Source organism: Homo sapiens, chromosome 14 (genome assembly GCF_000001405.40).
Source record: "Homo sapiens chromosome 14, GRCh38.p14 Primary Assembly".
Classification (NCBI taxonomy): domain Eukaryota; kingdom Metazoa; phylum Chordata; class Mammalia; order Primates; family Hominidae; genus Homo; species Homo sapiens.
The window spans coordinates 31,372,127-31,389,581 of NC_000014.9; the positions used below are offsets into that span (position 1 = coordinate 31,372,127).

The following is a 17,455-nucleotide window of genomic DNA, read 5'->3' on the forward strand; positions in this document are numbered from 1 at the left end:
GCAATAACCATATTCACAAAATGCTGCTGTTCTAGGGTTTTACTTTTACTCAGCCCTCAAGCTTAGAAGCAAAAAAAAAAAAAAAAACCAGCTTAGACTCTCAAGTTTGCCAGCTCTACAACTAGTTCCGTGGAATCACACTGACTTTCAAGTCAGCATGTTAGGTTTTTACAGATGTTATCTGAAACAAATAGTGTGTGCTACCACCCCTGGATAATTTTTGTATTTTTAGAAGAGAAGGGGTTTCACCATGTTGGCCAGGCTTGGTCTCGAAGTCCTGGCCTCAAGTGATTGATCTGTCTGCCTGGGCCTCCCAAAGTGCTAGGATTATAGGATTGAGACATGGTGTCTGGAATAAATAACTTTCTATAATGAATTACTTTGTATGTAGAATAAGATGAGTATTTTAAAGTCAGACTGGGCCAGGCGCAGTGGCTCACACCCGTAATCCCAGCACTTTGGGAGGCTGAGGAGGGCAGATCACCTGAAGTTGGGAGTTTGAGACCTGCCTGACCAACATGGAGAACCCCATCTCTACTAAAAATACAAAATTAGCTGAGCATGGTGGCGCATGCCTGTAATCCCAGCTACTCAGGAGGCTGAGACAGGAGAATCACTTGAACCCGGAAGGCAGAGGTTGTGGTGAGCCAAGATCATGCCATTGCACTCCAGCCTGGGCAACAAGAGTGAAACTCCGTCTCAAAAACAAAAAAACAAAGTCAGACTGATCAATTCTTTTCTCTCTTTCGCTCTCTCTCTCCCTCTCTCTCTCTCTCCCTCCCTCCCTCCCTCCTTCCCTCCCGACCCCACCTCCCACACCCCTGGACCCTTTGAGACAGAATCTCACTGTTACCCAGGCTGGAATACAGTGGTGCAACCACAACTCAATGAAGCCTCCACCTCCCACGCTCAGGTAATCCTCCCACCCCAGACTACAGGCATGCACCACCATGTCTGGCTAATTTTTGTATTTTTTGTAGAGAGAGCAGTTCACCATGTTGTCCAGGCTGGTCTTGAACTCCTGAGCTCAAGCAATCCACTCATCTCGGCCTCCAAAAATGCTGGGATTGGCCACTGAGCCTGGCCAAAATCAATTTCAAAAGTGGTTTTTCTTTAACAGTAAAAATGCCATGAATAAACAAAACCAAAATCAATGCTTCCATGTCTTTCCAGGGATCTCACCCTTCATGGTGAAACATTACTTTTTTTTTTTTTTTCTGAGATGGAGTTTCACTCTTGTTGTCCAGGCTGGAGTGCAATGGCGCATTCTCAACTCACTATAACCTCTGCCTCTCGGGTTCAAACGATTCTCCTGTCTTAGCCTCCCAAGTAGCTAGGATTACAAGCGCCCACCACCACATCTGGCTAATTTTTTTGTATTTTTAGTAGAGATGGGGTTTCACCATGTTGTCTGGGCTGGTCTCAAACTCCTGACCTCAGGTGATCCACCCACCTCAGCCTCCCAAAGTGCTGAGATTACAAGCGTGAGCCACAGCACCTGGCTGAAACATTACTTTTAACAGTCTACATATTGTAGAAGGTACAACTTTCATATACAGGTGACCCTTGAACAACACAAATGTGAACTTCAAGGGTCTCTTCATACATAGGTTTTTTTCAACAGATGCCACACCGAGTGTGCCTACCTCTCCTGCCTCCCCTTCCACCTGCTCCACCTCTTCTGCATCTGCCCCCAGTGAGAGAAGTAGATCAACCCCTACTCTGCCTTCTCAACATAAAGATGATGAGGATGAAGACCTTTATGATGATCTACTTCTGTGTAATGAATAGTAAATATATTTTCTCTTCCTTATGATTTTCTTAATAACACTTTTTCTTTTCTCTAGCTTACTCCAAGAATACAGTATATAATATATACAACATACAAAATATGTGGGGCTGGGTGTGGTGACTCACGCCTGTAATCCCAACACTTTGGGAGGCTGAGGTGGGAGGACTGCTTGAGGTCAGGGGTTCGAGACCAGCCTGGGCAGCATAGTGAGACTCCATCTCTACAAAAAATTTAAAAATTAGCTGGGCATGGTGGCATGCACCTGTGGTCTCAGCTACTTGGGAGGCTGACGTGAGAGGATCACTAGCCCAGCAGGCCAAGACTGCAGTGAGCTGTGTTCACACCACAACATTCTAGCCTGGGCAACAGTGAGACCCTATCTCAAAAAAAAAAAAAAAAAAAAAGTGGTAATTGACCATTTATGTTATCAGTAAGGCTTCTGGTCAACAGTAGGATATTAGATACATTTTTGGGGAGTTAAAAGCTAGACACAGATTTTTGACTTCGAGGCGCATTGGCATCCCTAACCTCCATGCTGTTCAAGGGTCAACTGTATAGGCTAAATGGAAACGATTCTTAATGGTAATTAAACCAAACCTTAGTATTTCTGAAAAGAGGAATGAATGCTCACCTAAGACAAAACAATGTTGGCAGTTTTAACTGGATTGGACCTAATAAAACATGTATCTTAAGAACTCTCAAATCTGGTTTATTATAACATACACCAGTTATCATTACCAACTAATCGGTTATAATTTTTTTGTTCAGTTACAAAAAAAAATCATTAGTGGCATATCCCCCTGCCTCGTGTTAAATAAAACATACAAGTACATGTTAAAGACAAAGGGTGGGTAAAAAGCCAAAGGAAAGGGAGAGAAAAGACTAAATCCAACCTACCACACAGTGCACCAGCTCGTCCTTCCAGGGTCACCTGCCATGTAAACGAATCTCCTCGGCTCTTTTCTGTTTCTAGATCTTTAGGAGATGCTGGAAAGACACACTTCCACAACAGCAGAACTCGAGCAAGGTGATGGCTAACAACTGCAGGACCTGTAATTTATTCAACTTGTCACTTGTAAGAGAATCCAAGGTTGTCACTCTTTAAAACTCTATTATTAAGCAGCAACTTCTCTCCTAAACATTTTAATTCATTATTGCAACATTTTGTCCCCTTTCTTATCTTCAGGTTCCAAATTATTACTGAATGAATTATTATCTGAAGGTGCTGGAGTACAGAGAGGAAAAACAAAGAACTAATGGTACAGGCTGGGCTCTAGTATCAGCTCCTCCACTACTGCTATGTGCTCTTTGAGACTCAGTTTCGTCTACATATTAAATGAAGCTAAAGCCCCCTGTAATGCTTGTCTTTAAGGGCTTGTCAGGTCCAAATGATAGAATGCACTTTAAAGTACTCTGAAAAGCTGTAATGGACCACATAAATGCAAAGTACAATTATTATAGTAACAAACAACATTGCATGCTTTTTGAGACAGGTTCTTTCTCTGTCCCCCAGGCTGGAGTTTAGTAGTGCAGTGGCATGATCACAGCTCACTGCAATCTCAATCTCAACCCCCCTGAGCTTAAGTGATCCTTCCAGCTCAGCCTCCTGAGTAGCTGGGATTACAGGTACATGCCACCACGCCCAGCTAATTTTTGTATTTTTTGGTAGAGATGGGGTCTCGCCATGTTTCCCAGGCAGGTCTGAACTCCTGGGCTCAAGCAATCCACCCACTTCAGCCTCCCAAAGTGCTGGAATTACAGATGTGAGCCATCTGTATTCTTGATCTTCAGAATAATGCTAACTTCTGATAGCAACTTGTTCCAGGTCAATAATCAGATACAAAATGTCTGAATAGAATACTTTTTGTTAAAAAAAGGTTTCAGAGCAACATTTATGAATTGAAGGAATCATGACACAAACCCAATAATAATACAAAACAATGTACAATGATAACATTATCAATTTTTTAAAAACCCAAACCCATAGCTTTTCTCCCCAGGTACTTTTCTTTAAATTTCTGGAGTTACTTTAAACTTCTCCAGTAAGCGCTCTCTACTTCTTACTCCCACATTCTGCTGACTGTATGTCTTTCTTCTGTTCCAAACCCATAGCTCAGAACTGCATTTGGCTTTGGAGGGAGACTGCCTAGATTAATATCCTGGCTTCATCCACTTATTAGTTGTGTAAACCTGGATGAGTTATTTAACCTTTTTCTGCCTCAATTTCTTCATCCATAAATGGGGAGAATAATAGTATTTTATTCAAAGGACAGTTTCTGAGGCGTATATGAGTTTATACACAGAAGAGTGCTTAAAGCTGGGCACAGTGGGTCATGCCTGTAATCCCAGCACTTTGAGAGGCCGAGGCTGAAGGATTGCTTGAGGCCAGGCATTTGAGACCAGCCAGGTCAACACACCGAAATCTTTCTACAAAAAAGTAAAAAGTTAGTTGGGTGTGGTAGCACATGTCTATAGTCCCAGCTACTTGGGAGGCTGATGCAGGAGGATCATTTGAGCCCAAGAGATCAAGGCTGCAGCAAGCTATGGTCTGACTGCCACTGCAACAGAACAAGATCCTTTCTTTAAATAAATAAATAACAATAATTATAATGTATCTAGCAAACACAACACACATACACGCACACTTTATGAGCCATCCACAGAAAGACAAGATATGGAGGAATCTGGAGATAAATCCAAGTTTTTTCATATGGCATCAGATAAACTGGGAAGTGTATCAAAAAAGGTTTAAGTGTGTAGCTTACATTCAAGGAATGAACATGTTTTGTGTTTACATTAGTTCATAGTGAAATAATGAAGAAAATTATAAATGGTAAAGGGAATGAAAAAAACAGAGAAGACATGTTTAAAATGCAAAGCAAAAATTAACAAAGCACTAAGATTGCTGTCTAAAAATCATTCCCAGCTGGGCACTGTGGCCCATGCCTGTAATTCAAGCACTTTGGAAGGGCAAGACAGGAGGATCACTTGAGCTCTGGAGTTCAAGATCAGCTGGGGAAACAGCAAGATCCCATCTCTACAAAAAAAATTTAAAAATTAGCTGAGTGTAGTGGTGTAAACCTATAGTCCTAGCTACTCATGAGGCCGAGGCAGGAGGACTGCTTGAGCCTGGCATTCAAGGCTGCAGTGAGCTATGATGGTGCCACTGTACTCCAGCCTGGGTAACATGGTGAGACCCTGTCTCTTAAAAAAAAAAAAAAAAAAAAAAATTCCATTTCCTACAAAAGGAATCAAGGCTCCTTGGAGAAACGGCTGATGGCAAGCCTAAGGCAGAAAATGTAGTGTAAAACCTGGGACATCTTGCATGCAAAAACACATTATCAAAGAATACTAGGTTCACGTTAAAAGGACAAATGAACCAACTTGAAGGGACTCCCAATGACCAAAGATGAGACAATTTGAGGATCGAAAGGAATAATGATCGCAAGTGATTAAAACATATAAATATATAAAATTCCATGAGCTCATAATGATACCTAAAAAAAAAACCTCACTGGTCCCCCCTGAAAGTTGCTATGATACTAACGCACTCTAAAAATTGATAATAGCCTGGGTGCAGTGGCTCACTCCTGTAGTCCCAGAACTTTGGGAGGTCAAGGAAGGCAGATTGCTTAAGTCCAGGAGTAACCTGCTTGAGTCCAGGAGTTTAAGACCAACCTGGGCAACATGACAAAACCCCATCTTTACAAAAAATTAGCCAGGCAGGGTGGTGCACACAGTCCCAGCTACTCAAGAGGCTGAGGCAGGTGGATCACCCGAGCCTGCGGAGGTCGAGGCTGCAGTGAATCATGATCGTACCACTGCACTCCAGCCTGGGTGACAGAGTGAGACCCTGTCTCAAAAAATAAATAAGCAAATGAATAAGAATAAAAATAGATAATAAAGGGAAAGAATAGTTAAGAAAAATGAATAAAACCCAAGAAAACAAAGTAATTAAACAAAACCTTAATTAAAACTTTTAATCCCTTTTTGTATGCTGATTATGCATATGCCGTAAAATATGATGTACAGGAGAAAGGACTTCTTGTTGTCTTCCTCCAACACAATTAGCTTGTTTTAAAAGCTCTTGTTTATCAAAATGCATTTATTAGGTAGTTTATTTCCTCCTTAATTCACCAGGAACTTCAATACGGCAGGCATGAACACCCAGCAATAAGCAAATAAAAGCTTGACTACATTATTCCCAGCACACTGTGAAATGATGATCTATGCTTTGGTCTAACAAACACTTTCTGTAAAGGGGCAGATAGTAAACATTTGAGGCTTTGAGAGCCACATACTTCCTGTTGCAATTACTCAACTCTGCCACTGTACACCTAAAGGTCACAGACAATCCACAAACAAGTGTGGTTGTACACAAATAAAACTATGAATGCTGAAATGTGACTTTCACATGATTCTCATGTATTACAAAATATCTTTTTTCCCCAACCACTAATAAATATAAAAACTGTTCTTAGCTCACAGGCTGTATAATAAATATTGGTAGTAGGCCAAATTTGGCTCCTTGAAGCTAAACTTGATCTAGTCCAATAAATCTCTTTAATCATCTTAAGAACACTACTTGGCCAGGTGCGGTGGCTCACGCCTGTAATCCCAGCGCTTTGGGAGGCCGAGGCAGGTGGATCACGAAGTCAGCACATCGAGGCCATCCTGGCTAACATGGTGAAACCCCGTCTCTACTAAAAAATACAAAAAATTAGCCAGGTGTGGTGGTGGGCGCCTGTAGTCCCAGCTACTCGGGAGGCTGAGGCAGGAGAATGGCATGAACCCAGGAGGTAGAGCTTGCAGTGAGCCGAGATCGCGCCACTGCACTCCAGCCTGGGTGACAAAGTGAGACTCCACCTCAAAAAAAAACAAACAAAAAAAAAAAACACTACTTAAAGTAGTTCTTCATTTATGATTGTTTATTCTAATTTAAGCTCCTTTAGGTCAAATTACTTTATAGGTGTCAAAATGATTTATCGGCCAAATCAGGTCAGTTGCTTTATTTTATTATTATTTTTTATTTTTATTTTTTGAGACGGAGTCTTGTTCTGTCACCCAGGCTGGAGTGCAGTGGCATGATCTCAGCTCACTGCAACCTCTGCCTCCTGGGTTCAAGCAATTCTCCTGCCTCAGCCTCCCCTGTAGCTGGGACTACAGGCACATGCCACCATGTCTGGCTAATTTTTGTATTTTTTTTAGTAGAAGCAAGATTTCACCGTGTTGTTGGCCAGGCTGGTCTTGAACTCCTGACCTCAGATGATCCGCCCGCCTAGGCCTCCCAAAGTGCTAGGATTACGGCGTGAGCCACTGCGCCCGAACTATTCATTTTTTGTTTTATTTTGAGAGGGAGTCTTGCTCTGTCACCCAAGCTGGAGTGCAGTGGTGCAATCTCACTTCACTGCAACCTCCACCTCCTGGGTTCAAGCAATTCTCCTGCCTCAGCTTCCCGAGTAGCTGGGACTACAGGCATGCACCACCATGCCCGGCTAATTTTTGTATTTTAGTAGAGATGGGGTTTCACCTTGTTGGCCAGGCTGATCTTGAACTCCTGACCTCAAGTGATCCACCCGCCTCAGCCTCCCAAAGTGCGGGGATTACAAGCGTGAGCCACCATGCCCAGCCTCAGCCAGTTGTTTTATATCTAGCTATAACTTGTATGACAACAGAGACTTAAAATATAGGTGTGATAGAGTAATAAAATTAAGTTTCATTAGCACCATAAGACTGGGCAAAAAATAAATAAATAAAGTTTTCAGTGGCTCATGCTTATAATGCCAACACTTTGGGAGGCCAAGGCGGAAGGACTGCTTGAGCCCACAAGTTCGAGACGAGCCTGGGCAACATAGTGAGACCCCATCTCTACAAAAAAAATTTTTTTAAATTAGCCAGGCATGATGTTGCATGCCTATGGTCCCAGCTACTTGGGAGGCTTAGGTAGGAGGATCACTTGGGCCCAGGAGGTCAAGGCTGCAGTGAGCCATGATCATGCCACTGCACTCCAGCTCGTGTGACAGAGTGAGACCCTGTCTCAAAAATTTAGAGGATATAAATAGTCATGACTGTAAAACAATTACTGTTTTTTAATAAATATAATTTAAGTAAAATTCATCCCCTTCAATGTAGCAACCTTATTGGCTGTTATGAATCCTCAAACAATTATAGAACTGGATTCCCAAGCTATGGGTATGTTCTTTTGCCTATATTGTGGAAATGTTTTTTTCTGAAGATGGATGTCAATGATTTTTGAAAAAGCCACAGTTGTTCAGAGTTAAGCCTGAAAGATGATTAGTAACTCGGCTTATCCTACTTGAGGCTTATCATCTAGCCCGGAAGAGAAAATCAAGAGAGATCTCAAAAGGTTTTAAGCAATGACGAAAGTAAAAGGCTTTTTAAGGTGACTACTACAAGAAAAATGTTTGTGTGGCTATTTAAATTCTGGTATGTATTAAAAGTTCATTTCATCAAATCACATATAAGAATCATTTCACTCAGAAAACACAAAGTATTTCAAGGTATGTAAACCTTCTACAGACTGTTACCTAATGTCATCAGAGCAGAAATCAGCAACCATCCAGCTTGTGTGCGCTGAGCTGAAAGGCGACTGTTTTGAGCAGCAGAACACAGCAAATCCTCTGCTAATGTCATAATAATCTATTTACATATAGAACAAGTTTTAAAAAAAGCATATCAGTTTATAAATTACTAAATGATAGCAGCTAACAATATCTTGAAAAATTAATTCTTACATAAAATAAATGTAAACGATAAAGAACTGTCATTCGTGTAGACTACATAATAGGACTGTCATAAAGGAAACTATAAAAAATTAAGTTTTCAAGGTTAAATACTGGTATATGAGGTAGTACACAACAATCCCATAATTTTTTGTAGAACACATGTGACAACAATGTAAGATTATTCAAGTATAGCTGTATAGAATTTGAATTTACTTTTAGTTTTGAGCAACTATCCTTTTAAATCCATAATTATCCAAAAAAAGTTTTCTTACAGGAGTCTCTCTCTTAAAAATGCTACATACAGCCAGGTGCGGTGGCTCACGCCTGTAATCCCAGCACTTTGGGAGGCTGAGGCGGGTGGATCACAAAGTCAGGAGATCGAGACCATCCTGGCTAGCACAGTGAAACCCCATCTCTACTAAAAATACAAAAAATTAGCCGGGCGTGGTGGCACATGCCTGTAGTCCCAGCTACTCGGGAGGCTGAGGCAGAAGAATCGCTTGAACCCAGGAGGCAGAGGTTGTAGTGAGCTGAGATTATGCCACTGAAACTCCAGCCTGGGCAACAGAGTGAGACTCAGTCTCAACAACAAAAAAAAGCTACATACTACTTTTGTAACTCAGTAGCTGATAATAGTCTTCCAAGAGGTAGTATACTATAGTGGTTAGAGGTAGTCAAAATAGTCTCATACTGAAGAGTGAAATTTATTAAAATGTTATAGTAAAAAAGTCTATGAGGCTGGGCACAGTGGCTCATGCCTGTAATCCCAACGACTCAGAAGGCCAAGGTGGGAGGACCAATTGAGGCCAGAAATTCAAGACCAGCCTAGGAGTGAGCTAGGATCACACCACTGCATTGCAGCCTGGGCAATAAAGAAAGACCATGTCTCCTTGGAAAAAAAAAAAAAAAAAAAAAAAGGACCAGCCTGGGCAACAGAGTGAGATCCTATCTTCACAAAAAAATAAAAAGAATTAGCCAGGCAATGGAATTACGTGCCTGTAGTTTCAGCCACTTGGGAGGCTGAGACGGGAAGATTGCTTGAGCCCTGGCATTTGAGGCTGCAGTGATCTATGATCTCGCCACTGCACTCTGGCCTAGGTGACAAAGCAAGACCCTGTTTCAAAAAAAGGGGTCCATGTTATAAAACAACAGAGAAGAAAAACAGGACATTTCACATTTATGGATAATGTATGCTTACACAGTACAAGGCCAGAGAGCATCTAATATGAGAAAACACCTATTACCAATCACCTCTGAAAAAGCAGGAAGTATTATGAGTTGGCATATAAATTTTCTAAAGAAGAAGGCTAGTGTATTTTAAACCAACCAACCAACTTACTACTAATTTAGGACTCCCTGCAGCTCATACAGTCAATGGATAGCACTCAAAAAGAGTGAGGACAAAACAAACCATTCTAGTCAAATCAGAACAAGTGGATAATTCTCTCGGAAAGAAATTCCAAATATAATATGGGAATGGGAACCTTGTCTGAATTAATGAGATATGAGAATAGGTTTAATTAAATACATTGAATGACAAGTCTTTGCTTAGCAAGATGTGATGTGTTAAGAATATAACTAAAATAATAAATTTAAATAATCTCATCTTCCAAAGTTGTCACCTACCTTATTTCAGTGGCATTGGCAATACTCAAAATATTTTTGGAATTGTTCAAGTTATGGAATGGTCTTCTGCAGAGCCTACACTATGGTGGATATACTATCAAACTCCATAATGACACAGGAGTGGCAATGAGAAAGAAAGGAATAATGGTGTATTTTTTTAAATATATTTACGAGTTTGTGAGAAGTATGGGTTAGAAGGGCTTTCACTGTCAAATAATGTTCTCTGACAACTTACAATTCCTAGCTATTAAAAAAGAAACAAAATTCAAACACCTTGCTTGCCTATGTTGTATTATCTAGGTTTCATTAAAATTTTTCTTTAGTTCTCTTCAAAATTCTTTGTACATTAAAACTGGGTTATTTATTCACTAGGTTTGTGTCATTTATTTGTCTGATTCTAAATTTACTCAGAAAATGACATTTTTTGGTAGCAATACAATTTGGAGAAGTTGAATATCATTATGAACTCATGAAATTTTATATATTATCTAGTATGTTTTAATTCACTGTAGTCATTATTAATTTTGATGTATAAATCATGCCATCTTTGATCAGTGGGAGCCCCTTAAGTTACCTCTTTTTAAAATGAACATAGTATTCCTTGATGACTTCCTTACTTTCTGGCATGACAAGATATCCCAAGTTTATGTTGTGCATTTCCTGCCCCAGACCTGAAACTAGCCATTGCTCCATAGAGTCCTGATTCCTTTTTGGTTGGAAACAGTATTTAGAGCTATAATCTGGGCACTAGGGGTATCCCTGACACTGGGTTATCATTGCTTTTAGGCCTTTTCACTGTACAAAAGGAGGATGTAAGTATTTTCAAAAAAATAAAATGAGTTCATACTGACAATTTCAATTTGAATCTAACGTATGGGACTTTTACTTAACTTCAATTCTACAGTTTTAGTTCTTTCTACTTATATTGAAAACCTTCGTTCCTAAGAACATTAATATAACTATTTGTCTACTTGATCTTAAGATATGTAAACTATTTTTAAAGTAATACCACAAATAATACCACTAACTAAATTATTAAATATTAAGCTTAGTTATTTAAGATTTCTTTTGCAGCTCTATTTATCCTCTAAAATAAAATTGTAAATGTACTTATATGGCAGGGCTAGATGTACAGCAAAATAAAGCATTCAGTAACAAATTCTGTTACTATGTGAAGATACTTCTAACAAAAAGCACCTCATTATCATACATAGAGAATGAAATCATTACCTTGCCTTTTCCATGAGGAATTCCTAAAGGACAATGTTTTACTGCTCCCAACAAAGCTGCTACAGCAAAACTGAAGCCAGTCACTGCTTCAGGTGAAGACTTATGTCCAGTAAGCCGTTCAAGGCAACGATCCAAGAGTGGTGTTAGGTAGGAGGGTAATGCCACGGCAATGCAGTGTAAACACCAAGCTGCTGCTAGTCGAACAGAAATGCTAGGATGAAGAATAACTGACAAGATACTGTCAAGGAGACCTGGAAGGATAAACAAATGATGACTTAGGTACATAGATAAAACTCACCTGACCATAAAATAGTCAAAAGAATACATAGCCACATGGATATAAAATATATTTTTATCAAAAGCCACATTATAATAGAAAAATACATAATTACAAATAATTTTCTTTTAACTTCATTTTTCTCCCTTCTCACCATTCCTATTCAAAATAATTTTCTAACCTAAGAATCACTTCTACTAATATATCTCATGAAAGTTGTCCTAAATTAAGTCCGCGCACAAAAGAAAAACTTTATTTCCTAAATAAGCCAATCTCTTATTTAGCTTCAGATCAATTATTAATTTGGTACTAAAAATTAAAAGTTATCAACAAATAACACCTTGAAAAGAAATGTCACACCCTGGCCAGCTGTGGTGGCTCACGCCTGTAATCCCAGCACTTTGGGAGGCCAAGGCAGGCAGACTGCCTGAGCTCAGGAGTTTGAGACCAGTCTGGGCAACATGACAAAGCCCTGTCTCTACCAAAAATGCAAAAAATTAGCCAGGCATGGTGATGCATGCCTGCTGTCCCAGCTACTAGGGAGGCTGAGGTGGGAGGATCGCTTGAGCCAGGGTGGCGGGACTTGCAGTGAGCCAAGATTGTGCCACTGTACTCCAACGTGGGTGACAGACTGAGACCCTGCCTTGAAAAAAAAAAAAAAGTCATACCCTGCCCCACCCTCTTTTTATTTTTTAATCCTTCTAGTACATTTATCTACATAATTCATATACTTTTTTTTTTTTTTTTGAGATAGCATCTTGCTCTGTCACCCAGGCTGGAATGCAGTGGTGCAATCTTGGTTCACTGCAACCTTCGCCTTCCGGGTTTAAGTGATCCTCTCGCCTCAGCCTCCTGAGCAGCTAGGATCCCAAGTGCGTGCCACTACACCTGGCTAATTTTTGTATTTTTAGTAGAGATGAGGTTTCACCATGTTGGCCAGGTTGGTCTTGAACTCCTGACCTCAGGTGATCCACTCACCTCACCTTCCCAAAGTGCTGGATTACAGGCATGAGCCACCATGCCCAGCCTACATAATTAATACACTTTCTATCCACCATGTTGCTCTTATAAGAATAAAACATTAAAATCAAGGCTTCACTAGGTCCTCAGTGGGCTACTAACCAACTAACTACAAAGACAGTGAAGTAACTGTCACCATCAATAAAAGAAAGGGTATTATTTGCTATGATTCAACATAAACTTTCATGAAACATGTAAGTTTCATGTCAAATGCTATTTAAGTAAGTGTCCCAGATCTAAATAGCTTATAAACACAAATATAATGTAAAGTTTCTCAGCAAGAAATGTGTGCCACGAAGGATAAAAGCCATAATGATATATTTTTTGAAACAGGGTCTCACTCTGTCACCCAGGATGGAATGCAGTGGCATGATAATAGCTCACTGTAGCCTCAGTCTCCTAGGCATAAGTGATGCTCCTGGCTCAGCCTCCCAAAGAGCTAGGACTACTACAAGTGCACACCACCATACCTGGCTAAGTTTTAAAAAATTTTTAGTAGAGAGGAGCTCTCACTATGTTGCCCAGGCTGGTCTTGAACTCAGCTCAAGCAATTCTCCCATTTTGGTCTCCTAAAGTGCTGGGATTACAGGCGTGAGCCACCATGCCAGGCCTAAAAAGTGATTTTTAAAAGTGATTTTTTAAAAAGAAGCAAGTCATTTATGACCATATATTGAATGATTTTTTTTTAACATGAAATATCCAGAATAGGTGGATTCATAGAGACAGAAAGTAAATTCATGGTCGTCAGGGGCTGCGGCAAAGGGAAATGGAAATGACAACTAATGGACTTCTTCCTGGGGTAATGAAAAGACTCTGGAATTAGACAGTGGTAGTGACTGTACAGTATAGCAAATATACTCAAAATCCCTGAATTGTATACCTTATAAGCGTAAACTTCATGGTAAGTGATTTATATCTTTTTTTGTTTTTTGAGACAAAGTCTCTTGTTGCCCAGGCTGGAGTGCAGTGGCGTTATCTTGGCTCACTTCAACTTCCACGTCTGGGGCTCAAGCGATTCTCGTGCCTCAGCCTCCCGAGTAGCTGGGAATACAGGCATGCGCCACCATGACGGGCTAATTTTTCTATTTTTAGTAGAGACGGGGTTTTGCCATGTTGGCCAGGCTGGTCTTGAACTCCTGACCTCAAGTGATATGCCTGCCTCAGCCTCCCAAAGTGCTGGATTATATGCATGAGCCACTGTGCCTAGCCATGAATTATATCTGAATAAAGCTATTATAAAGTGATTAAACACTTAAGAAAGAAAATACTGCTTTAAAGACCTTTGAGGAACTGAATTACTTGTACTGTACTAATGTTTTCACTGCAGATGCAGAGAAAGTTCAGGTTTACTTCTCTGTAAGTTTTTCCATGTTATAAGTCTCTAAATGGGGGGTAGGGTGCAGACTTAGAGAACAATCTTTAATTACAGAAGAAAAAACTAAACAATATACATCTTTTTAATAATCCTGATTATAAATTTTTCATAAAACATTTCTCATAAATCTATAATGGAATCTATAAGTAAGCTATATGAAGATTTCCTTCCTTGGAACAAAGTTATCTAGTGTACAAGGTATTCCAATGAGTCACAAACAGATATACCTGTACTTGAATCCTGTAGCAAAGGTGCCGCTGTGGTGCCAAGATTGTGTATGAGATTTCCAAGTTCTTGTAAAGCACAAACCAGCATATGTTGGCTAGCGGCTACATCTGTGGAACCAAGCCGGGTTTCCAAATTACCATCACTCATTACGGCATCTGATAGAAATGCAAGAATTAACTATGCATAACCACTGTATTAAAATATATTGAAAAGGGTGTGAAGAGTAAAAAGGTATAACGGCAAAAATTTACACATACACTTGATCTATATGAAATACTTGAGGCAATAACTAAAATGCTTAAATGGGGACTTGCATCAATAAAGAGAGAAATGAATTACTATAACCAATTTAGTTCAGGCATTCCAATCAGAGACCCCTTATTACTCCCTTAGCAAGTGGCACTGAGAGAGAGAACTCATGGGAAACTAAAAATGATTTCAACATTATTGATATTTAATATCCAACATTACTGATATTCGAGATAAGCAGAGTAGACTTAAGATGGTACAGGAGCTGAGATAGACAGTTTCAAAAATAATTTATCTTAAATTCTATAGGAAGTACAACATGAATTCTGAGGAACTTCTATCAGCCTTCAAGGTTTCTGTATTAATATAGTATTATATATCAGTCTAGCTTTCCCAAAGGGACAATTCCATTAGCACTGTTAAACAAACTGTCTTAGTAGAGATCCATACCCATAACTTTCTTTAGCTTCCAGATGGCCTGGCAAATATCCTTTACAGCAGCAAGCTGAGCCTTTTCTCCAAGAAGACCACCTATAGTAGTTCGAAGAATAAATGAAACACAACGGCGACAGCAGACGGCATCGATCTGAGTTTGGGTGGCTTTAGGGTGTGACGGTGACGCAAGGCTTAGGATATGAGAAAAAAAGGCAGCAAAATTTTTCTCTAGCCAAGCTCCTCCTAGTGTTGAAACAAATACCACATAAGCCTAAAAAGGAAAAGAGTTTTATTTTCAATATTAAATTGTTTCAATTCTGTATTCTCCCCCACAAAACATGTAGCATTTATTAATATTTTTCTTATTCCTTATAAATTGTATTCTTTCCTAATTTATGCCACTTGAAATATACAAACATAGCACCATTTTGTTTTTGTTTAAGCCAGAACTGAAGTGCATTTTTTTTTTTTTTGAGACGGAGTCTCGCTCTGTCACCCAGGCTGGAATGCAGTGGTGCAATCTCAGCTCACTGCAAGCTCCGCCTCCTGGGTTCACGCCATTCTCCTGCCTCAACCTCTCGAGTAGCTGGGACTACAGGGGCCCGCCACCAAGCCCGGCTAATTTTTTTGTATTTTTAGTAGAGACGGGGTTTCACCATGTTACCCAGGATGGTCTCGATCTCCTGACTTCGTGATCCACCAGCCTCGGCCTCCCAAAGTGCTGGGATTACAGGCGTGAGCCACCGCACCCGGCCTGAAGTGCATAGTCTTTCAATCAAGACTTCATTTCTGTTACCCTCCTGTTTTATTTTGGTCAGACTACAGTTTCAGGATAGTCAGCATACCCAGCTTACATGTAAAATGTATCTGTGGCTTCTGTGAACAACGGCTCCGAGAGATTTAACATTCTGAACAAGAAATCTCAATTTAAACATACAAACACATTATAAGAATTAACTATGCTCCAACATTATAACTCTAAGGAAATTTAGTTCTTTATTTTCATGAATATTAATGGTTTTTCTTACTCCATAGATATAAAGTAGTTTTAAGTTATCTGTTCCTTAGAAACACACAGTTTAATTACAATTATACTGGGAAGCTCATATTTTCATGGAGACTATATGCAGTATAAAACAAAGACAATATATGTGAATTTTTCAAAAATACAAGTTTGCTTTGAATGATAACGGTGTTTAGAAAAAAAAAGATAATCCAAGGAAAGAAGGCAGATATCTCTTTGTTTTATTGTTAAGATAACTCTTCCAAGAGTTTACCTTTTAAAACTCGTTTAGGATGAAAAATTTAAGCACTGAAGTAAACTACATGCTGTACTCCTTGAGGGTTAAAGCCACATAAAATGTTTATTTCACCTATGCTAAACAATTATGTATGTAATAGCTTAAATCTGAACTGCATGAGCACACACAAATACAATGGAAAACATGTTAAACCACAAGATACACAAAAGCACAACAGCTGGAAACAAAAAATCTTTGTGTTTCAAAGAAAATTAAAATGTTCCATTATTAGGAACGCAAAACACATTATAGGTAATAAGGTCCTCTTACTTGCAACCTAGTTTAAAAAAAATGTTTTGGCCTTACCATTTATATCTATTTATAGATATGAGAGCATAAGTGTTGACCTTGCATAGTACCACTTCTGTGGAGTCAGATACTAAAACTTTCATTATAGGCCAGTAAGAGTTAGACTGAGATACTGATTTGTGATTCCAACCTGAGTAACTCCAACTCGAACATCCCTACTGACTGAACTGGTTCCTTTCAGCATATCTCCACTGGCTCGAAGGAATCCTGAACTCCCACGTAGAAACCCTGTTCCTAGTAATTCCAGAACTTCCTCCAAAGATACTCTGCGAATGCTTTGACGTGAGGCTGCTATGACAAAGAACAAAACTGTGATTCATATTTTACAGACTAAATTTTAATGTAAGTTCTTGATTTGCAAAAAGCATGTTAATAGAAACAAAAATAAACTAAAAATTCAAACAAAATGCAAAATTTACAGAACAGTCTACACAGTAACACACAAAGTCACACAAGGGGTCAGAGGTCAAATCAGAATGGACCCTGAAGTGCATGTCAAAAACATCTTAGAGACTATGACTAAGATCATGACCTATTGCTTCCTTTCCTCAAAGAAGTTAAAAGGCTGTCTTCTAAAACAGGGGAAAAACATAAATAAGACTGCCCTAGTCCTCCACAAATGAAAATGCTATACAATGCTTTGAAAATTCTTTTGAAACATGGAAAATGCCAAAATCATAATTTTATTTTTCCAAATGCTGTACAACTGTCAAAGAAGTTTATATAATGTAAATGTCCTATTTTTAAAAATTCTCTATTGGCAATAAAACTTTTGCTATTCCTTCAGTCTCTGAAGAAATCAAAGCTAAATTCATTAAAACTACTCAGTTGGCTCTTAGGCTACAATAACTAAGAGATTAATTAAGG

At 39.3% G+C, this 17,455-nt stretch overlaps 1 protein-coding gene across 1 annotated transcript in view; it reads right to left on the minus strand.

The window, feature by feature from the left end:
* Positions 1 to 17,455, minus strand: part of HEATR5A (HEAT repeat containing 5A) — a 128,763-nt gene that overhangs the window by 80,339 nt on the left and 30,969 nt on the right. The window contains exons 7-12 of the mRNA NM_015473.4: positions 16,719 to 16,879; positions 14,994 to 15,249; positions 14,294 to 14,449; positions 11,395 to 11,645; positions 8,341 to 8,452; positions 2,690 to 2,842 (exon numbers count right to left, since the gene is read on the minus strand). Coding sequence (NP_056288.2) covers positions 2,690 to 2,842; positions 8,341 to 8,452; positions 11,395 to 11,645; positions 14,294 to 14,449; positions 14,994 to 15,249; positions 16,719 to 16,879 — 1,089 coding nt within the window. The remainder of the gene's footprint in view (positions 1 to 2,689; positions 2,843 to 8,340; positions 8,453 to 11,394; positions 11,646 to 14,293; positions 14,450 to 14,993; positions 15,250 to 16,718; positions 16,880 to 17,455) is intronic.